The sequence below is a fragment of the Homo sapiens genome, chromosome 20 (assembly GCF_000001405.40).
Source record: "Homo sapiens chromosome 20, GRCh38.p14 Primary Assembly".
Taxonomy (NCBI): Eukaryota; Metazoa; Chordata; class Mammalia; order Primates; family Hominidae; genus Homo; species Homo sapiens.
Window position 1 is genome coordinate 13909335 of NC_000020.11, and position 23368 is coordinate 13932702.

Consider the following 23368-nt stretch of genomic DNA (forward strand, 5'->3'; position numbering starts at 1 on the left):
ATTGTTTGTGGCACAGAATCTCTTTAACGAGCTGTTCTTTGCACAAGGAAATACACCAACTGCAAGGGGACTTGCTACTGGAAACAGATTTTCCTATAGTGGTGACAGGGATGATAGTCAAAATATAGAACTGAATCCATCAAAGCACTGGAATTTAATCCAGCTATAGTGCCGGGAGCAGGATCCTGGAGGCTCCCTGCTTATCCAGATGTTAACACTATGCTTGCTAGATCATGTGAAGTTTTGGGGCAGGGGAATTCAAGTGAGGAATAAGGGTGGATGTCAGGGAGGGCATAAGAGAGGGTCGGGCAGAGACTTTTAAATCAATAAATATCATAGTATTTTAGTATTTTAATAAACAGAGGCTGGGTGTGGTGGCTCAGCACTTTGGGAGGCCAAGGAGGGCAGATCACCTGAGGTCAGGAGCTTGAGACCAGCCTGGCCAACATGGTGAAACCCCTTCTCTACTAAAAATACAAAAATTAGCCAGGTGTGGTGGCACAGCCCGTAGTTCCGTTCCAGTTACTCAGGAGGCTGAAAGCAGGAGAATCTCTTGAACCTGGGAGGTGGAGGTTGCAGCGAGCCAAGATCACTCCACTGCACTCCAGCCTGGGCAACAGAACGAGACTCTGTCTCAAAAAACCAAACCAAACCAAACCAAAACAAACAACAACAACAACAAACCGGTTCAGCTGAATTTTGCACACCAGGTCAATGTCAGCCTTTTGGGCCATAAGTTTGTCCTCACTCATGTTCTGTCTTCTGTTTCTCCTTGAGACCAAAACACACGTATCTAAGTAAATATCCCCATTTTACAGAAGAGGAAATTGAGACCCAGAGAGGACAAGTCATTAGGGGCCAGGTGGAGCTCAGATGTAAAGCCAGAACTGACTGATCCCAAAGACAATGCTGTTGGGACTAAAATTGTTACACAACAGTATTCATTAATGTTCTTTAACATTTGCTAAGGACTCTTGTGGATATTTTTCAGTTCTTATGGCAACCTTGTGAAGTAATGTGGGTATTACTATCAATCTCTTTTTACCCTAAGATAATAGATACAGGTTTGGGAAACCCAAGGTTTAGAGAAGTAACTTCTTCAGAGATACTAAAAGAATGAACAAAAGATAGAAGAGCTATTATGTGATAGAATACATGGACTCACATATGGTCATAATTTCTGGTTTGGGAACCTCTTCTCTGCCACCACACCATGCCACCCTGAGGTCTGTAACTGTACATTTCTTAGAGTACCATCTCAACAATGCCTCAACAATACAAAGATGGCTGTAATAATTTGTGGCCAGTGGTTAGACATTTAGAGTTATTCCTTCCGGCACTGGGTTGGCACTCAGCCAATTACATTCTTCCACATGATTTTCCTTAAAACCAATAGCAAAAAAAGAAACAAAAAATGGCAAGCAACTGATGGTCACTTAACTGGGATTTGAGGATATTTGTGGCCATGTGATAACCACACTACTTAGAGTAACACTAGCTAGATGTAACTGGCTAGATGTAACTACATTAGCTAAAGTAACACAAATTAGATGCAATAACCACGTTAACTAGAGTGAAACTCCAACTTCAGCTCTAAAATTCATGTGTTTTAGGAACCATTCATGTAAGTTTGGAACTTCTTTACTGGGAGTCATATTTTGACCTTCTATCAAATGCTTTATTTATATACAAACAAGTGAAATCTTTGTTATTTCCTTTATCCAATATTCTAGACTGAGTGTAAATGTCACTTCTTCCTTGAAACATTCTTTACCTGCCCTAGGCAGAACTAGCCAGACCCTCTTCTGTGACTAAAGCACTTTATACGCACCTTAACTGTAGTCCACCTAAATTGTGCTGCAGTTATTTGCATTTCAGGTTGACCTAGGAGGACTCTGTCCTAGTAATCTTTCTCTCCCCATTACTACATTACGTTTGACACATAGTAGCTATCCAAGAAACAATTGTTGACTTATTAACTAATGTATACACACACTAAGAAAATAAAATTCATGTTCACATAGTTTGAAAAGAAATTAGGTGTTGCCATTTTTAGTGGTGGGAGTGGAGTGAGGGTAACATTTGGTCTTTAGTGATACCATTTTTAGTGGAGGAAACTGTTATCTGTGGTAACATTTGGTCTGTCTTGGAACTTTATATTTTTGATTAAGCAAATACGGGGAATGAAGGTTTAGCAGCTCTCATATTTTATTATAACATTTACAAATCTGTTTATTGCATTATTTCACATGTAATTTCAAGAAAGAGTTCCTGATGTAAAAGCAGTATTCAGCAACTTAATTTAATTAAAATTATATGGATTTTTAAAATGATGATGTCGGTCTGTATATATTAACATGGAAAGACATCTATGATACATTGTTAAGTGAATAAAGAGCAAGTTAGGAAGCAGCAACTAAAGTATTTGTTCGTTTTTGTAAAAAAATAATTCTATGGAGTCTTAGAAAATATTCCAGAAGAATAATATTGGAGTAATAATATTATTTTTATCCTCCTCCTTGCTTAAATTTTATATCCTTTGACCAATATCTCCCTAATCCCTACTCCTCCCACATATCTTTTCTTTATAATGAAAGATTACAGTGTTCCAGGTATGAAACTAAGTGTCTTCCCACATTATTTTAATCCTCACAATAACTCCATAAATTCATTCATAATTAATTAATTAATTCCTCATTCAACTTATAATTCTTGTCCTAGGCAGTGTGTTAAATGTTAGAGATATAGCAGTGAACGAGAAGGATGCGGTACCCAATGTTTCATCATTATCCTAACTTTACAGATGAAAATTAGTAAGGTTGCCCCATCTACAAGGGGTCTTCCAGTCCAACTTCTGGTTCAACTAAACATACAGACTCACAGGACACCCATGGGCTTTGTCGCCACCAGTGTATGAAGACAGGTATGGCATAGCATCTGGACTTTTTTTCTGTGGGATTTTTTTTTTTTTTTTTTTTTTTGAGATGGAGTCTTGCTCTGTCGCCCACGTTGGAGTGCAGTGGCACAGTCTTGGCTCACTGCAACCTTCGCCTCCCAGGTTCAAGCAATTCTCCTCCTCAGCCTCTCGAGCAGCTGGAATTACAGGCATGTGCCATGACGCCCAGCTAATTTTTGTATTTTTAGTAGAGACGGGGTTTCACCATGTTGCCCAAGTTGGTCTCGAACTCCTGGCCTCAAGTGATCCGCCCACCTTGGCCTCCCAAAGTGCTAGGATTACAGGCATGAGCCACCGCACCTGGCCCAATTTTTTCTGTGGGAGTTCTTACAGCAGAGTTCATACATTCTTCCAGGAACCACCATCTTTGGTCCTTCAGAAGATGGCTCAGATGCAAGGAGATGAGACCCACATTGGGTGGATGCAGGAGCCACCCTGACGTAAAAGCCTCATTCTCAATGTAACAACTCCATAGGCACAGTATCCAGTGTCCCCATAAGAAGTACTACCCCCATCTGGTATTTATAGTTCATGATCTTTTCTCCCAATTCAAAGGCAGTTTGCCAATCAGAGGTCATTTCTATCAGAAGCAAGCTTAACTAAAAATATAGTTAGCATTTTATTTCTATCAGATCACCAGGGAAACAGAACTAGAGAGTGAAACAAAGGTCAAATTTTTCATGCAGAAGGAGGTGAAAGGGTTTTGTTAAGTAGCTTATTCAAAAAACAAATGAAAGAGTGGATTCAAACTTAGGTCTGTCTGACTGCAAGTCTAGCTTCTGAACTTCACTGGATAGTAACAAATGTGATCTCTGGGGGGAAAGCTTTTAGAAAACTTTACTTTCTTTTTCATACTTTCTGATTTCTCAGACTTTTTTCATAATCAGAAAAAAATGGTTTTCATAGTAAAGACTATAGCAACATGAAAATATGCTTTTGCTACAGCATGAAGTGAAAGTAGCCAGAAGCAAAATGATATATGCAATTGCATTGTGATTAGGATGATGTAAAAAGAGAAATGCACAAAGAAAGAAGCCAAGCAAAAGTACAAAGCAGTCCTAATAGTAGTTGAATCAAGATGGTTGGCTTGGAAATAGCTTTTTTTCCCCTGTTTTCCAGATTTTCTATGAAATGGCTATGTTATTCTTGGAATAAAATGGAACGCATTTATTAAAATAGAAAAGGAATTACATTTAGCTTATAAAATATTTGAAAAGTAAAAATCATGCAAACATGTCACCCTAAGATAATAGACAGTTTCATATTTCTTCATATAGGTGAATACATTTTATATAAAATTTAGCTGTTGGGGGTTCGGAGGCTTCTGCTGTACTCCTGCCCTGACACCACTGTTTCAGTGCATTATGGTAACCTCCCTAGACTGGGTTCATGCAGCAGAGCTGGAATACTATTGCTCAACTCCTTTCACATGCTGTCTATAGTTATTTCAGGATGGAGCTATTTAAGGTTTCATTTTCCTTCAAAACTCACGTTTTGGGCTTTACATGATCCTTCTTTAGCCAAGGACTCATATAATTGGATAGCTGCTGTTATATTTTGCACGCCAAAATTTCCAAATAGCAAAGCGTCAGCCATTTTCTCCATAGCTTTCAAGTTTCCCATGTCAGCTGCTTTGGCAAAAAGTAGGTAGGCTCTGTTTCAAGAATATAAAGTCAAGTTTGATTTTCAAAAATGAAATTTTCTTCTCCTTCTTCAACACTATTCATACTACTTCTCTCTAACAAGCAGGAACCAGTTGTCATACAGTTTAGCTGAAGTTCATTACATCTCTAGATCAGTAGATTTTTTTCATTCCTAAAGCAGTCTAAGGCTATAATTTCAAATATATCTCACAAATAATAATGCTACTAAAAAGGAGAAATATATAACATACACCATCTTATACACTGATACAGAAATATATAAGATACACCATCTTATACACTGAGTAAGCTTATACACTGAGTAAAGTGAAAAATTGAGGAACTTTTTCTAAAATACTGAACTCTCCCATGGCCACCACCATTATTTATGAATATTTGTTTTATAAAATAAATTCTGAAAAATATAAGAATAATCAAAATTGGAATGTAACCTCTAGGAAGTTACTATCAGAAGAATGATGATCCCTTCATATCTTAATTTGCTAAACAGAATATATTCTTCAACACAGCAAAGTCAGACTCTTTGGAAAAACAATAATGAAACAAAACCTTAATGGCTAGGGCTCTAGAGTCTGACTGCCTGGTTCAAATCCTGGTCCCACCACTTACTAGTTGGAGAACTTCAGCCAAGTTATATAACTTTTCTGTGACCCTCTAATCTATGAAATGGGGATAGCATTATAGCACCCACTTCATAGGGTTGCTGTGGAGATTAAATGAGATAATCCATGGGAAGTGCTTGGCATTGTGCGTGGTATAGAGTAAGCACTCAGTAAATTTAGCTGTTATTATTGGGACAGTTGCATTGATTCTAAAGTTTTATAGCATGGTAATTGTTCTCCTATAATTAGGTGGTAAGTAGTGTGAACATTTAGTGATTAAAATGATAGGTGCCACAGGATTACCTTACACTGCACTCTTCGAGACCCAGTCAGAAGCCATCTGGACCTGATTGGTATAAGAAGTGATGGAGAGTCTTGCAAGGTCAAAACATGTGTCAGAGACAGGGAGTATTTTAGGGATTTATTTTTACTTTTATAACTTCGTTTTGAAGGTAAAGACCAGAAAGCGTTAACTTCTACCTGTGACCTTGACTCAAATACAGGGAAAAAAAACCCCATAAAAATCTACCATTGCTTCTGATTTAGGAGGATCAGGAGACTCACCTTTATGTACAGCCCATCCATGCTGAGGCTAAAATAAGCTGCTCTTGGGCAGAAGCTGGAGCAGAGTAGTCCAGGCAAGAAGGACCTCAGACAGAGAAACATCCAGGTAGGCATTAGAATCCTGGATGTCAAAACACAGGGTGAGTACTCCAGTGGAACAAAAAGAGATAGAAAACTGGAGTTCAGGAGATCAAGAAAGAAATTAACCCAGGTCAAAGCCAGCTGAAATTCTGGAGGCGGGAAGGCAAACAAGGCAGATGGTCTCAAGGTCACTAAAGGCAAATGTCTGGCACCCAGAGAGAGGCAACAGGAAGAGAGCCTGGCATCAGGATACAGACTCCCTTGAGCCTTTCTGTCACGTGGCTTGCTGCTGCAACTCTATAGCCTACTGGGACAGGAGGAGCACCAGCATGGACCAAGGCACAGAAACCTGAGATAGGCTGCAGGGGCCTCCAATAGTACGCCTAGTAGCTCCAGCATTTTATACACAGTCTCTGGACCCAGAGGGCAGCAATAGGCTGCAAAACAAATCCTTCTAGGTGTCTTGCATTCCAAGGGCAGTGTGGGCATATGGGTTCCATAGCAGAAAACCCAAGGCACTAAAAGGGATACTAGAAGCAGTATCCAGGGCTGGAGAAAGTTGCTGATAGGTAAGATTAAGATGTGGGCTGCAATCCCCAAAAGGAAAAAGGTGGGAGAAGCTGGGCAGCAGGGGCAGATCCTAAAAGACAATTTAATTAGTTATCTGAATGGTCTCTACAGGGTCTGGCATTGGACGCTTAGGTGGGTGATGGGGGAGGAAGGGCTCAATGCTTCTGCAGGGCACATCAGAAACTTGGTGTAGAACAACGGCTTATCTTCGAAACTTCTTTGCTGATGGGGAGTGATTCTTAATGAAGGACCACTCTAGCTGTCAGTGAGGCTTCCTGACTCACTCAGACAAATTTGTTCTCTCTGACACGCTTGCTTAATATCTGTACTTTAAACAGCACTGACTTGTTCAGTGATTTTTCCTACTCATACAAAAGAAGAGGCTGAATGAGTGAATAAATGAATGAATGAATTGGTCCAGGATGTGGGTGTGGAGGAGCCAAAAGGATAGTTTTAACCTATCTTACATCTGTCCTGCCAACCCAGGAAGTAGCAAAGCAAAGAGAGGGTAGGATAGAGGAATGAGCGGGAATGAAATTATTCTCCTTTGGTCAGGAGGGTGTGCAATCATTTTTCTCTCCACCTGCCCTATGCTTAGGCATGGCTGCACAGATGTAACTTGTTTAAGGAGACAGCAGGCCATCCTGATAACACAAGAACTTCACCCAGCTTGCCCAGAAACTCCTGAGATCTCTTTCTATGAGCCCATTAGAGTTCAGTTCTCCATTGCTACCGACTCAAAAGGGTCAGGAGGCTGGGCGTGGTGGCTCATGCCTGTAATCCCAGCACTTTGAGAGGCTGAGGCGGGCAGATCACTTCAACTCAGGAGTTTGAGACCAGCCTGACCAACATGGCGAAACCCTGTCTCTACTAAAAATACAAAAATTAGCCGGGTGTGGTGGTGGGCACCTGTCATCTCAGCTACTTGGGAAGCTGAGGCAGGAGAATCGCTTGAACTGGGGAGGTGGAGGCTGCAGTGAGCTGAGATTGTGCCACTGCATTCCAGCCTGGGCAACAGAGTGAGACTCTGTCTCAAAAAAAGGTGGCGGGGGTGGTCAGGAGACTGAGTTTTGGGGCAAGGATGTGGGCAGGACAGTCTTGGTAAGAATAGCATGAAACTGAATGACACCCAGGTAGGCATGAAGGTTCCCACACTAATGGATGGTCTGCTATTAGGACTGGGCTTTCTCCCTGTTCTTTAGGCCAAAGAGGAAGGTCCCCTTCAAGGTTGAGTGGATGGTTACCTGGGACCTTCTCAGAGTGATTTTGTCCCATTGGGCCAAATCCAGGGTTTCCCTGGACTTGATGTAACACACCTAGTTGGGCCCCTTCTTTGTGTGGGCTCCCATGCTATAGTTAGGGGTCATCTGAAATCTCAGGGACCAGCCCCTGACTGGCGCTCCACATCTGTTTCTTCTAGCTAGGCTGGCTGGAGAACTCTCTGTTCTTACTTATTTAGCCAGTGGGCATGTTAGTGAGATGAGCTCCTATTAGGCTGGATTGTATTTTTGGGATCTGATTTTACCCCTTCCTCATTATAACAGCCCCCAGGGACATTCAGTGGGAGGCCCAGGTTTTGCTGTGGTTGGTTGAACCACCCCCTCACTTCTTTCTTGTCTCTTAGGAAGTATTACATCATCTTTTTGACTCTCCATTTCCTTCTTGTAATTTGGAGATAATTATCTATGTCTCACGGTATCACTGTGAGCAATGAATAATTTACACATGTAAAGTACCTAAAACAGTAACTAGCACAAAGCAGGTGCTTAATAAATGAAAGTTGTTGATGTTGTCATAACCAGAATCATAGTTGAGTGCTCCTTATCCTCTGTATTTTTATACTTCTCAAAGGTTTGGGTTTTAAGAACTCATGGACTTTGTTGCTGCCCTGTCTGGTGCTAGCTACCACAGCTCTGGGATGCTTTCCTCTGACTGGTGTGCCTATTCTGTGTGAAAACAAGAGATGTCTCCTTGTTGGGGGCTCAGGGCCCATACTTTCTTTATTTCTTTCTTTCTTTTTTTTTTTTTTTTTTTTTTTTTTTTTGAGATGGAGTCTGGCTTTGTCACCCAGAGGCTAGAGTGTTATTGCATGGTCTTGGCTCACTGCAACCTCTGCCTCCTGGGTTCAAGAAATTCTCCTCCCTCAACCTCCCAAATAGTTGGGATTACAGGTGCGCGCCATCATGTCTGGCTAATTTTTGTAGAGACGGGGTTTCACCATATTGGCCAGGCTGGTCTCAAACTCCTGACCTCAAGCAATCTGCTAGCCTTGGCCTCCCGAAGAGCTGGGATTACAGGTATGAGCCACCGTGCTTGGCTAGGGCCCACACTTTCTATTATTGGTTCAAAATACCCTTGCTTTCTTTGCCCCCATACCTTCAACTTAGCAGTTAGGGGACTCAAGATAAAACTAACACACCTGTATTTCCTGGTTACTAAGTGTCAGGCACTATTGTAAGAGCTTGATTGCATTATCCGGGTCACAGAGAGGTTGAGTAACTTATCCAAGTGCAAACAACCAGTAAATGAGAGAGCTAGGATTTGATCCCAAGGCTTTAGCTAGAGCCTTGAGGGGTGACCACAGGTTGTGCCCCTCCACTGGAAGTGTGGAGTGGAGGGAGAAGATATTTCTGCCTCCCCTTTAGACAAGGTAGAAAAGTGATAAGAGAAACAGTGAACATGGAACAAGACCATGTGGCCACAGCTTGGTCACCTCCCAGCTATCTGTGCTCACCTCACTTTAACATCTTTGAATCTCTGTTTCCAACTTCTTAAAGGAGAAAAATTAAGCTCTTCTTACCTTATAAGACTGTTCTGGGGATAACATGGAATCACATACATGAAAGTGCTTTTAAAAATCATAAGATACTGTACAAACACCCAGGCAGAAGTAAAGCATTTTTAATACAACAACTTGCTCTAATTCAAATAACACATTTTATTTCACTTGAATCATCTAATAAATTAAAGCCAAAACAATATTTCTGCATGAATGCTCAGGTCAGTGTCTTAATTCTCAATTTCACTTAATACGGGGACTGCAATCTCACATGCAGTTCTCCTGTTTGTTTAGAGTGATAATTTGTGGGATTCTTTAAACACAATTTGATCCTTTTAAAAACAATAGTTTATGGGCAAATAGGCTTACTCATTATCCCAATGAGTTTTAATGATAAACTACATTTGGGATTTTTCTTTTTTCTTAACCTGGAAATTCAACTTGGCTAAGGTCACTGGATAAAGACTTACTCTTCTTTTTGTTTTTGGCTTTTAGACTGCTGGAGAACCTTGATGCCCATCTTAAATAGCTGGTCTCCTTCATCTGTAAAATTTTTCTCTGCTTGCTTTTGTACTATACATGAACAAACAAAAAATAAAAACAATATTACTTCTATGTTCCATATTTTAAAAATAATGTGCTAAAGTAATTTGTTGGCATATTAGAGTTCTGTTCTACTTATTTTTTAAACCTCTGCATTCAAGAAGATCTGTTAATATTATTTCTTAGCTGAGGAGCGTCGGTAGGTCAGAAGGCTGAAGCTGCCTAAAAACTTATTCCCTGCTGGTTTTTGTGAAAGGATCTGGAAGGTGAAGTAGAAAGAGAGATGCTCCTGATGGGAGAAGGGATGCTTTTGGTCTAGGGAAGGGATACAAGGTTCTCCGATCAGAAGGCAGGAGATGCCTGGTATATAAGAGGGGCAGGATCTTAGCCCTGGCTGGCAAAGACTCTCTTGTCTGAGCATAGCACAGTAAATCCCAGAGCCACAGGATTCCAAAAAAACATGAGGACATGGGCAACAGGCATCTCCAAGATGACCAGTGTGCACCTAGGAGAGGAGGAGGGAATTGCTTTATAAATTTCCTTGGCTGGGCGCGGTGACTCACGCCTGTAATCCCAACACTTTGGGAGGCCGAGGTGGGTGGATCATGAAGTAAGGAGTTCAAGACCAGCCAGACCATCCTGGCCAGGGTGGTGAAACCCTGTCTCTACTGAAAATACAAAAATTAGCCAGGCGTGGTGGCACACACCTGTAATCCCAGCTACTCAGGAGGCTGAGGCAGAGAATTGCTTGAACCTGGGACGCGGAGGTTGCAGTGAGCTGAGGTTGCACCACTGCACTCCAGCCTAGGTGACAGAGCGAGACTCCGTCTCAAAAAAAAAAAAAAATGTTATTGGCCAGGTGAGGTGGCTCACTCCTGTAATCCCAGCACTTTGGAAGGCCGAGGCAGGCGGATCACTTGAGGTCAGGAGTTTGAGACTAGCCTGGCCAACATGGTGAAACCCTGTCTCTACTAAAAAATATAAAAATTAGCTGGGCAGTGGCGTGCAGATGTAGTCCCAGTTACTTGGGAGGCTGAGATGGGAGGATCCCTTGAACTCAGGAGGCAGAAGTTACAGTGAGCTGAGATCAGGCCACTGCACTCCAGCCTGGGTGACAGAGCGAGACTCCGTCCCAAAAAAAAAAAAAAAAAAAAATTCTACCTAAGGCTTTTCCACCTCCCAGGACCCTTTCTAAGACTTAGGGGAAGGCACAGAGACAGAATACTCATGATAACTTGCCTCGTAGGATGAGGGCTCAGAATCAGTTTTGCAGAATTCAAGGAAAATGAAGAAATTAAATTTTACCTGCTACAGTGATATTTTCCAAACGTTTATGTAACACTTTGCAATTTTTAAAAAATCATCACCAGTTTATAGTTGGGGAAAGCTGGTTGTGGGAAGAGTCACACTTAAAGATATAAAGATCCTTCCACCAATGTGTGCATATGCACACACACACTATTTTTCTCTCTCTCTCACACACACTCTCACATACACACACACACACACACATACAGCCTTTTATAACATCACAGTGCCTCTTGAAGTCCATTACAACACTTAGTAAAATCTTTGATTAGAAGAACCACGCTTGAAGCCATTTCAAAGGAAAGGCATTTGGGATTTGATGCCTCATTAACAAGACCACAAAGAACAAGTAGCTCTTGTTTTTTATCTTTCTGACAAGCAATCAGAGTTGCTCATTTTTCTTTTTAAATTAAATTTAAAAAATTAAAAATTTAAAAACTAAAAAAATTCTTAACTGAAAAGCCTATTTAAAATTATTTTGAATACTTCACACTATCCAACCAATTTAGTAATACCAGGCACTTTCAGGATCTAATTTCTGCTCTGAGTTATCTGTTACCTATACTTCTAATTAAAGGGGGAAAATAATGGAGAAAACCTAATAATCTGTGTGTGGAATAATAATAGCTCCTATGAAAATGCTTTTAGAGAGTGAAAATAAATTTTGAAAGATTGGCTCTGTATACATATACATATGAGAAATGATTTTACCACCACAAATTTCTACCTATGGCTTTTACTTTTATTTGTAATTCTTTTTTGGCTTTCCAAATGTATTGGAATTCAATTATTCGTTTTCTTCACTCTGTTGCCCCGGTTGGAGTGCAGTGGTGCAATCTTGGCTCACTGCAACCTCCACCTCCTGGGTTCAAGTGATTCTCATGCCTCAGCCTCCGAGTAGCTGGGACTACAGGTGCATGCCACCACGCCCAGCTAATTTTTGTCTTTTTGGTAGAGATGTGGTTTCACCATGCTGGCCTGGCTGGCCTCGAGCTCCTGACCTCAAGTGATCTGCCCACCTTGGCTTCCCAAAATGCTGGGATTACAGGCGTGAGTCACCACACTCAGCCGCTGTTTATTAAAATACTAAAATACTATGATATTGATTGATCAAATTTTCTTTACTATAAGAGGGTCCAGGGCCGGGCGCAGAAACAGTCAAAATAAAAAGGGATATGACTCACCTAATGGGAAAAATGATTTACAGGAAACACTTTCAATAATGTCAGGTAAATAAAGTATTACTTTCAATAAACAACCCATTGCTTAAAATACTTGTAACAACTTGCAATAAATTTATTTTAAAGCAAAAAAATGTATTTATGGAACCGTTTTTCAAATTTTTCATCCATTGATATTAACTTGTGTTCTCTGTCTCATGATTCTGCATGTTTGTAGCTTTGAGAAGCAGTATGAGCACAGACTCAAATCAGACTGCCTAGATTTGGAACGTCATTTACTAGATACCAACTATATAGCCTTGGGAAGATTATTTAACCTCTCAGTGCCTACATCACCTCATTGTAAAATGGGAATTATAATAGCCCCTTCTTCTCAAAGGCAGTGAGAAAATTAAGTACAAGAACTGAAACCTGCCTAGTATCTAAGTGCTTTATAAGTTTCAGCTCTTATTCCAACATAATTGATATTGCTTTTGATTCTTCACTTGTTTCATGAACCATATTTCTTTCTGCTAAATTAAAGGTTTTTGAAAATGAATTAAGTCCTTGTACCAAATATACAATAATGCATTATTATATAATTAATAAATAAGAACACAATCCCTGTTATTTCAAATCTTGCTGAAAAGAGATTTTCTTTCTACTTTTAATGCAATTTTTTTTACCATTTCTCACAATATGACTGGAGTTATTTATGTTTGACAATGATCTGGAGATTGCGAGTAAACCTGATTATTGTAAATATATTTGCTCTTATTCAAGCGTATTTGAGTCGATTGCATCTTTATTTGACTAAACTCTTTGCTGAGTCATTCTTTCTTGGATGAAATGTTATTTTTAGTAATGGATCGTTATTCTTCTTCCACATCTAGGATTGTATCTTCCTGACACACATAAGGGCAAATGTGAAGAACTCTTCTGATGCATTATTCACAAAATCTGAAGCTGAAGCTGGTTTATATTAAGCACAATTGAAATCAGATTTTAAAAAAAGGATGCAGTGTCTGTGTAGGCTAGATTTTCCGCAGAGGAAAATAATTTCCCATTTTTATCCCTTTGTATCATTTTAATGATGAAAGCACCTGATTTTTAGTCAGACTATGATATTCACCTCGCTCACTTGTTAATTTTTTTTAGCTCTATATGATCCTTTACGTGGTTTGTGATGTAAATATAACTTGAGATTCAAAATACTGGAATGTGCTATCTTTTTCCTTTTATTTTTCTAGATAGTATTGATTGATTTGTTTTTAAACTTACGTATTAAGATTTTAGATTTTGTGGTAAAACATATCCAGGACTGAGAAATGCAGCACAGAGCATAGGAAGGAACCAAGCAAGTATAGGGTTTCAGGAGAGGTTTAGAGCTTTATAGGGTGGATGGCACTAGAGGGTTACTCCCTTCCCACAGGTAACAGGGCTGGGCTGTTACATCCCGAGTCTGTTAGCCAGTTGCTACAGGCCACCACCAGGATATCATATTTAATCAACAGCACTTTTATTTCTTAGTGGCCATAAAACAATGGTGTATCTTATAACTTTTGACATCTTAAATTTGACACAAACATAGTATATGAATTTGAAACAATACATTTCTCTCTAATTACTGTTTTGGTGGCATTCCACAATTTTTATGTAGCATTTTCATTATCAATTATAAATATTTTCAAATTTCCATTCTAAGTTATTCAAACAACGTTTAGAAGTGTTTATGACACTTTCCAGACATAAAAGGTTTTTAAAAATTGTCTACTTATGGCTTGTAATTTTATTGCATTGGGATCAGGGAGCCCAGCAGAATCGTATAGATTCCTCAGTTTATGTTGAAACTTGTTTTGTGGCCTTGTGTGTGGCCAATTTTTATACAGTTTCCATTTTTTTACTTAAAAAGATTATATATTCTTGGCTGAGTGCAGTAGCTCACACCTGTAATCCCAGCACTTTGGGAGGCCCAGGTGGGTGAATCACTTGAACCAGCCTGGGCAACATGGTGAAACCTCATTTCTACTAATAATACAAAAATTAGCTGAGCATAGTGGCACGTGCCTGTAGTCCCAGCTATTCGGGAGGCTGAGGCACAAGAATTGCTTGAACCCGGCAGGTGGAGTTTGCAGTGGGCCGAGATTGTGCCACTGCACTCCAGCCTTGGCGACAGAGTAAGACTCTTCCTCAATAAAAACAAAAACAAATAAACAAAAAAAGATATTATATATTCTTTAATTATTGAATTAAATTCCATATATTATTAAATTGAGCTTTATACATTCAAATCTTTTTGATTTTCAGTAATTTTTTGTTTGCTGAATCTACCAGTTTCTAAGAGATGTTAAAAAATCTTCAACAATTGTGGATTTGTTCATTTCCTATTGCAAGACTGTTAATTTTTCATTTTTATATTTTGAGATTATGTTGATGGATACATGCTTAGAATTATCACAACTTCCTTGTGATTGTTCCTTTGAACATTATGTGGTGATTCTCCTTTTCTCCCTATTATTGACTTTACCTTGAAGTCTATTTTGTCTGAAGTTAATATGAGCTTTCTTTTGATTAGTGTTGCCTGGGATATCATTTCTATTCAGTTAACCTCAGTTTTTGTGCATCATGTTTTAAGTATGTTTCTTACAAACAGCAGATAGTCAAGTATGGTATTTTTCTTTCAATCTAAGAGTATCTCTTCTTCAACTTGGTTTTTTTTTGTTTTTCTTTTTTTTTCTGGGCTGCATTCAGGACAATTTCTTCTGATTTTTCCGGTAATTTGTTAATGTTCTCTTCTACTATGTCTGATCTTCTTAAGCCATCCTTTGATTTTTAATTTGGATGAATACACATTTTCTTTTTCTTTTTCTTTTTTTTTTTAAGAGACAGGGTCTCACTCTGTTGCCTAGGGCAGAGTGCAGTGGTGTGACCATAGCCCACTGTAATCTCAAACTCCTGGGCTCAAGATATCCTCCCACCTCAGCCTTCCAAGTAGCTGGGACTACTGGTATGTGCCACCATGCCTGGCTAATTTCTTTTTTTTCATAGAGACAGACTCTCACTGTATTGCCCAGGTTGTTCTCTAATCCTTGGACTTAAGTGATCCTCCCACCTTGGCCTCCCAAACTGCTAGGGTTACAGGCGTTTCATTTTTCTTAACTCTGGTTGGTTCTTTTACATGGCTGCTTATTCCTTTGTCAGGATGCCTTGTTTTCATGCTTTCTTAACCATTTTAAAATATATTTATTCTGTAGACTTTTGCAGGTTGTTCTACTCTATCAAGTCTTGAGGTGCTGGCCAGGCACGGTGGCTCACACCTGTAATCCCAGCATTTTGGGAGGCCGAGGCGGGCAGATCACCTGAGATCAGGAGTTCGAGACCAGCCTGGCCAACATGGTGAGATCCTGTCTCTACTAAAAATATAAAAATTAGCCGGGCATAGTGGTGCGCACCTGTAATCCCAGCTACTAGGGAGGCTGAGGTAGGACAATTGCTTAAACCCGGGAGAAGGAGGATGCAGTGAGCAGAGATTGCACCACTGCACTCCAGCGTGGGCAACAGAGTGAAACTCTGTACCTCACAAAAAAAAATACTTGAGGTGCTATGCCTTTTATTGTGTGTGTGTAGTCACTTGTGTATTTTCTAAAATTTTCTTGTGAGTCCAGTAAGTCTTCCTTTGTGGGAATTGTGAGATTGTTTCTCTAGAGTGAGTTTCTGTTGCTTCTGTCAGGTTTCCAGAGTCATTATTTTATTGACTGAGGAAAAATTTTATATTGGTTTAGAAGTTTTCACCCAAAAAATCAGGTGGCATAAATTCAAATCCAAATCTGTATGAGGGTCAGGGCTGTGGTTAAGGTTTTACCAGGGAGAGGTTTTTCCCTGTGAGAGCTTCGGTAGAGAACAAGCTTCCTTGATATTTGCCTACGATGGCGGGTGGTGATTGGTTGGTTGGTTGGTTTTCCCTAATCTTCTCTTTTGCTGTCTGAACAGCTCTATGAGACTCCTAGCTTTATTCATAGCTCTTCTTTCCGATTCCCTTCTCAAAAGTCCTAATGTCTTTTTTCCTTCCCTGGTCTGGGACTTAAAATACAAGGCTTAGCCTTTATCAGCTCTGACTACAACTCGCCAAAACATCGACTACATACTTACTTTTCATTATTTCTAACATTTGAGGATTTCAGCTCCTTGTGAGCCCAGTTCTGCCTTTAAAAACATTTAAAGTTATGACATACTTTAGGCAACACTTTTAGGTATTTGTAGCAAGAGGATTTTCCTATTGGATTAACCCACCATTTTGCTAGAATGAGAGATCTTTAGTAGTTTCCTTTTAAAATCAGTTAACTTACATAAAACTGTGAGCTGATTTAAAGAAAAACTTGTAGTAAATACTAGGAAAGGCATTAATGGTGAGCAGGTTGGGCTCCTTGATAAGCAGATCCTAGGAGTCAGGGTTTTTGTTAAGAAGGGACCTTCAGGGCCGGGAGCCGTGGCTCACGCCTGTAATCCCAGCGCTTTGGGAGGACAAGGCGGGCGAATCACGAGGTCAGGAGATTGAGACCATCCTGGCTAGTACGGTGAAACCGTCTCTCCTAAAAATACAAAAAATTAGCCAGGCGTGGTGCAGGCGCCCGTAGTCCCAGCTACTCAGGAGGCTGAGGCAGGAGAATGGCGTGAACCCTGGAGGCGGAGCTTGTAGTGAGCGGAGATGGCGCCACTGCACTCCAGCCTGGGCGACAGAGCGAGACTCCGTTTCAAACAAAAAAAAATTAAATAAATAAAAAATTCAAAAAAAGTGACCTTCAGAACCACATCTAAAGAAGAAGTTGGACTGGGCAGAGGGAGAAACTGCGATGCGGGCTCACTTGGCTGCAAGAGAAACACCTGGCTGACCCCACAGGTGGAGCTCTGTGGCGCTAAAATGGCCTGTTAGAGTTGTCTCAGGTTAGGGTTAGATGATCCTGCCTTCATACTGCTGTATCAACTGGCCATTGGAAGTGAGCTGCCCCAGGAAGGAGGCATGACCTTGGCTATGCAGCACTCTGTAGCTGAAAACAGTCCCTTCAGAGACTGACTGCCAAAGGCTGTCTAGAGACTGTACTCCAGCAATTGGGCAAATAGTTCCTCGTTGAAGGGGGTCTGAACAGCACTTCACAGTGTCCATTCCAAATATGCCGAAAAATAATCAATAAAATGGAATGCAAATGTTAAATTTAGCCTAGCTGGTCACAGGCCCCAGAAGCAGCAAAAAGGAATGCCAAGACTGACTTAAGACAAGGTTCCAAGATACCTCCCTTCAACCAAGAGCACAGTGGTGATTGGGTATGATCATCAAAATTAATGATGATTAATTCTAAGGGGTGCCAGGAAGGACATGGCCTGTAGTGTCCCAGTGGCCTGCAGGAATAGGCTCCACTGTTCCTACTGCATGATTGGTTATTGATTTGTCTTGCTAACAATTTAATACAAATAATTATTCTTTTAGACTTCATTCTGACTCATATGGAAGAATTAGTTGTTGAAGTTATGGTGTTAAAATACCCTGAGGAAAAGTGAACATGCCATTTCAGAAAAGGTAATGGATGGGAAAGCATCATGTTCAACTATAAAATACTATCCAAATGTACTCTAAAAACGTTAAGCCTTATTATTTTTATGTAGCACTATATTGTAACACAGCATACAGAGAATGCTAAATTTGGAGTTAGATCTAGTTTACATCCTAGCTCTCTACAAAAAGAATTCAACTCAATGTAATTCAGCAAATATTTCTTCATTCCAACTATGCGACAGATACAGTGCCAGGCACAGATCTTGCCTTTAAGCTATGGGGGTATAAATGCTACTTGTTATATGTGAGAAATTCTGGGTAAAGAGACAAGTGGCAAAATTCCAAAAATGGCTAAATAGTTTTCTCTGTTTTTAAAATGTAGAGAAATTTATTTATATTCTGGAACTATAACTTGATGTTAATCTCTTTAATTTTTAGAACAGATTATTATATGTGTTTTGTGAGCATTCCATTAAGAATATTTAATCACTAAGAATTAGAAATAATTTTTCAGAGTAAGTTAAATCCTATTTCTCTTTTGTGAAGGACCGGTAGGTCTGTGGAATAGCATTTATAGAACACCTATATCTCAAGCATATCCTGTGCACAAAATGTTGAAATGGGAACTAAATGAGAATAGAGTTCAATAAGGTTCTGAGCCAGTCTGATAATCATGTGTGACTCATATTCTTGTTTCATTCCACATTTATGAAGTTCAAACTCTCCTCTAGGGAAGGTAGCTTCTCCGTGGCTTCCTCTACTTTCTTAACTCCTAACTAAATAGGTACTGTTCCCAAGCTGTGTCGCATGGACCCACAGTGAGACTTAATATCTCTTTGAGTTGTCCCAAAAGGATATTTACTCTTACAAAACGTTTATGAGGAATACACATTTTATCTAAGATTTCATAGAGCAGAAGAGAAGATGAGTTATCCTAGGAACAAAAACAATTTTTAATGGTCACCTTAGACATTGCTGATTTAAAAATATCAGTTGGAATCCCCCAACTTTGAAGTTTCACTAACTTTTCAGTTTAGCGCAGCCAATCACCATCTTTCTTGCTCCTCACATCTGCTGTTTTCATAGTTCTTCTCCTGTTCTTTTCTTCTCACCCTTTCAAAAACAAAATGTCAACGTTCCTCTCCCTAGTTCTGTAGGGCAATGTCTTTCCATCCTTGAAGACTTGGCATCAGCTGACACCAGGCTTCTGTGTTGCAGGGAGGTGGGAGAGCAGGAGGGGGTGTTTACCAGCCACGAATGCTTGTTAAGACATGACCCCAGGCCCTCGGCACACTGCCGTATAAAGGCAGTGCACACTGTATAAGACATTCTAGTAAATAGAATTTTTCACCCACATCACATGCAGATTTTTATCTTATCTATATTTGGTCAGATATTCCTGACCAAATAATTACAATTACCCACCCACCAATAAGATACCCAATCAACAACAAAATTCTAAAGATTTCTGGTGTATTACTGCGGGCCCTAGGTGCTAAATTTGGCCCATCTTGCTAACTTCTCTAACAAGAACATGGGTAAAAGATCGGAAGTGATATGCTTGTCAAAATTTCAAATGACAGAAAGCTAGGAGAGAATAGCTAATGAATTCGTTAATGCAATCAATAGGTTGGAATAATGGTCCAAAATGAAGTTTAATCCATATAAATGTAAACTGCCTGTTAATGTAAAATGCGCACAGTGAAGTTTAATACACATAAATGTAAAATGTTACACTTAAATTAAAAAATGTAGACAAACACATAAGGATTAGGAGACACCTGGCTGTGTTGGTCAATTTCATGTGTCAGTTTGGCTTGGCTATCATCCTCAGTTATCCAAACAGGAATCTAGTTGTTGCCGTGATGCTGTTTTGTAGCAATGATTAAAACCCATCAAAAGGAGATTATTCTAGATAATCTGGGTTGGCCCGATTCCATCAGTTGCAAAGCCTTAAGAATGGAACTGAGGCTTCTCTGAGGAAGAAAAAAATTCCGCCTGTGGATAGCAGCTTCAGCTCATGCCCAAGAGCTCCAGCCTGTTCTCCCTGAGAGCCTGCTCTTTAGATATGGGACTTGCCCCGCCAGCCCCACAATCGCATAAGCCACTCACTTGCAATAAATTCCTAAGTATAGACATCTCCTACTATTTTTTTTTTTAATCTTTTTCTGGTTGAACCCTGACCACTACACTGACTTAGTACTTTTAGATGAGGACCTCTAACGTTCCTTTTTACTCTTAAGATTCTGAAACTTCACTTTTACTAACTATGCTTCTACTGTGTGCCCCTAAAAGGTCTTTATCCTTTTAGTTCATGCCATCTAATCTCCCCTGTCTGGAAAGCCAGGTGTGTTGGATATCCTCTAATTGCCTTTGCCTTTTTTTTTTTTTTTTTTTTTTTTTTGAGACGGAGTCTCGCTCTGTCGCCCAGGCTGGAGTGCAGTGGCCCGATCTCAGCTCAGCTCACTGCAAGCTCCGCCTCCCGGGTTCACGTCATTCTCCTGTCTCAGCCTCCCGAGTAGCTTGGACTACAGGCGCCTGCAACCACACCCTGCTAATTTTTTGTATTTTTAGCAGAGACGGGGTTTCACCGTGGTAGCCAGGATGGTCTCGATCTCCTGACCTCGTGATCCTCCCGCCTTGGCCTCCCAAAGTGCTGGGATTATAGGAGTGAGCCACGTGCCCGGCCTTTTTTTTTTGAGACGGGGTCTCCCTCTGTCGCCCAGGCTGGAGTGCAGTGGCGCAATCTCAGCTCACTGCAGCCTCCGCCTCCTGGCCTTAAGTGAACTTCCTGCCTCAACCTCCCAAGTAGCTTGGATTACAGGCACATGCCACCACACCCGGTTATTTTTTGTAATTTTGGTAGAGACAAGGTTTCACCATGTTGGCCAGGCTGGTCTCAAACTCCTGAGCTTAGGCAATCCGCCCACCTCAGCTTCCTGAAGCGCTTGGATGACAGGCATAGGCAATGGCCACCGGCCTTCTGATTGCCATTCTAGATCCCACTCCATCCTGCTCTGTGCCTTGGGACTCTAACTCCTAAGGACCACACCACATCAATGGACTCCCTTTCCTTCCTGCTTCTGAAGAGATTTGCTTGAAGAGCATCACTAGCAGGAGGTATGAAGGGTAAGCAGGAAGTGAGGTGGGGCTGTTTCTTCCCTGCCTCCTCAATCCGGGTCTCTGCAGGCTGGCTTTGTCCTTGACTTGAGACCATAGTTCTGTCACAGAGCCTTCTCCACATACCTCTGGTAGCCACTACTGCCCTGTGGCACTTCAGGGCCATGGGGTGGTAATGCCAGTCCTGCTACTGGCCCCAGGGGGAACTTTGTGGTTTCCCTATATCCTGTCTACGCCTTTAGAAATAAATAGTCTCTTTATTAAACTCTTCTCAGATGACTCAATTTAAATGTGCTATTTGTTTCCTGCCAAATCCCTAACTTCAGTTAGCTAAGCATGTCAACATTTCGATGTCATATCTAGAGCCAATTCTTCAAATGGGCAGTGAACCAGTCTTTTGGAGCTAAATGTGAGGAAAAAAATACGCTTAAAATATTAAGATTTAAAAACTTGAAAATCCTTGTCAAAGCTGGACTCTCAGAAAAAAACAGAGACTAACATCAATGAGTTCATCCAGCCCCAAAACTATTCTCTTTCTTCTCCATAACCCATGGTTCATAACCCATGGTTCTCAATTTCTATCTATTGCTCTTATTAGCAGTGATCACTTTTCTGTATTTACTTGTGTCAGAAGAACACATTTTGTGATTATCAACCTTCCTTATTATCATCAGCACAAATTCTGAATCTAAAATAGTGGGTAACAGCCCGGGCAACATAGCAAGCCCTCGTCTCTACTAAAAATTAAAAACATTAGTTGGGCCTGGTGGCACACACCTGTAGTCCCAGCTACTCAGAAGGCTGAGACAGGAGTATCTATTTTTTTTTTTTTTTGACGGAGTCTCGCTGTGTCACCCAGGCTGGAGTACAGTGGCGCGATCTTGGCTCACTGCAAGCTCTGCCTCCCAGGTTCATGCCATCCTCCTGCCTCAGCCTCCCGAGTAGCTGGGACTACAGGTGCCCGCCACCGTGCCTGGCTAATTTTTGTATTTTTAGTAGAGACGGGGTTTCACTGTGGTCTCGATCTCCTGACCTCGTGATCTGCCCTCCCCAGCCTCCCAAAGTGCTGGGATTACAGGCGTGAGCCACCGCGCCTGGCCTGACAGGAGTATCTTTGAGCCCAGGGTGTGGAGGTTGCAGCAAGCCAAGATCATGCAGCTGCACTCCAGCCTGGATAACAGAGTGAGACCCTGTCTCAAAAAAATAAAATAAATTAAAATAAAACAAAGGTAGAAGACTGCAGAATTTAATGCTTTTGTGTGTATAAATATTTATGACTATATCCTAAGACTTCTCAGAAAGTAGCTCTAAAATTTGATTTTATATTGCATGTAGTCATTTTAAATTTACATGTGAAAAGATATTCTACTTACAATGATTCTTATTTCTCTTCAAGATATCTTTATTTTGAATTCCTTTTATTCTTATTTTACGTTGATTCTTCTTTTTCTCCAGGAGATTTTCTCTTTTATTGATTACATTACTAGATGTTCTTTGTTCCAATATGTGTGATAAATATTGTTTGATTTCGTTCACTGATACCTACAAAGAAAAAGACTGTTGCTCATTTTGTTCATGTGTGAGTTTTTTTCAAATGAAACAACAGGAAAGTGAAAATTCATATATTCATGGCAAAAATACAAGCTTAATGCAATTACTCTAATTCTTGCTTTTTTCAAATCAAAATGACAGATGGCTTACTTCACTTTAGAAATCCATATGTTTTATGAATAAAAACCTTTTAAATCTATTATATTGTCATCTGAACTACAGAGCCAAGCATTAAAAGCTAAATGTTATAAATAAAATAGTAGGAGAATTTAACCAATTTACCTTCCACTGGTAAGTTGTCATGGTAATGTCAATCGTGTTAGCTAAAAAAATGAAGGCGTTGATATTGCCTTACACATTACAACAAATTTATAATGGGTGGAAAGTACAGAAAATCTTCTGACTGGCTTTAAAAAAACAATATTTCCCAAAAGTCCTTTTCAGAAGTTATATAATTACAATTAATCTTTTTTAAGTAGGGTAATAGTTTTAGCAGGTTATTTCTGAGTAGTAGAAAATAATGCAGGAATTAAGGTAGAAAAAGCTTTATGGAAGTAAATATTCATGATTTACCTACATAATTTTCTGGGTAAATTATACTGAAACATTAAAATTTTTCCTTTGTCAATTATTATTATTATTATTATTATTATTATTATTATTATTTTTTGAGACGAGTTTCACTCTGTCACCCAGGCTGGAGTGCAGTGACACGATCTTGGCTCACTGCAACCTTCGCCTCCCGGGATCAAGTGATTGTCCTGCCTCAGCCTCCCGAGTAACTGGGACTACAGGTGCATGCCACCGTGCCTAGCTAATTTTTGTATTTTTAATAAAGACAGGTTTCACCATGTTGACCAGGCTGTTCTCGAACTTCTGACCTCAGGTGATCTGCCCGCCTCGGCCTCCCAAAGTGCCGGGA

General features: G+C 40.2%; 1 protein-coding gene across 25 annotated transcripts in view; it reads right to left on the reverse strand.

Moving 5' to 3' along the window:
• The window catches only part of SEL1L2 (SEL1L2 adaptor subunit of SYVN1 ubiquitin ligase), a 146087-nt gene that overhangs the window by 60088 nt on the left and 62631 nt on the right, over positions 1-23368 (reverse strand). For 21 of the 25 annotated variants that reach the window (NR_073207.2, XR_937162.2, XR_937159.2 and 18 more), the window contains exons 3-5: positions 22269-22437; positions 9687-9789; positions 4448-4610 (exon numbers count right to left, since the gene is read on the reverse strand). Coding sequence is in view for 19 of the 25 variants with exons in the window: in NM_001271539.2 (NP_001258468.1) it covers positions 4448-4610; positions 9687-9789; positions 22269-22437 (435 nt within the window). In the remaining 6 variants the exon portion in view is untranslated. Of the gene's footprint in view, positions 1-4447; positions 4611-5786; positions 5908-9686; positions 9790-18739; positions 18889-22268; positions 22438-23368 lie in introns of those variants that run through there. The other 4 variants (NR_073206.2, XM_047440520.1, XM_011529378.3 and 1 more) reach the window with 4 other exon arrangements.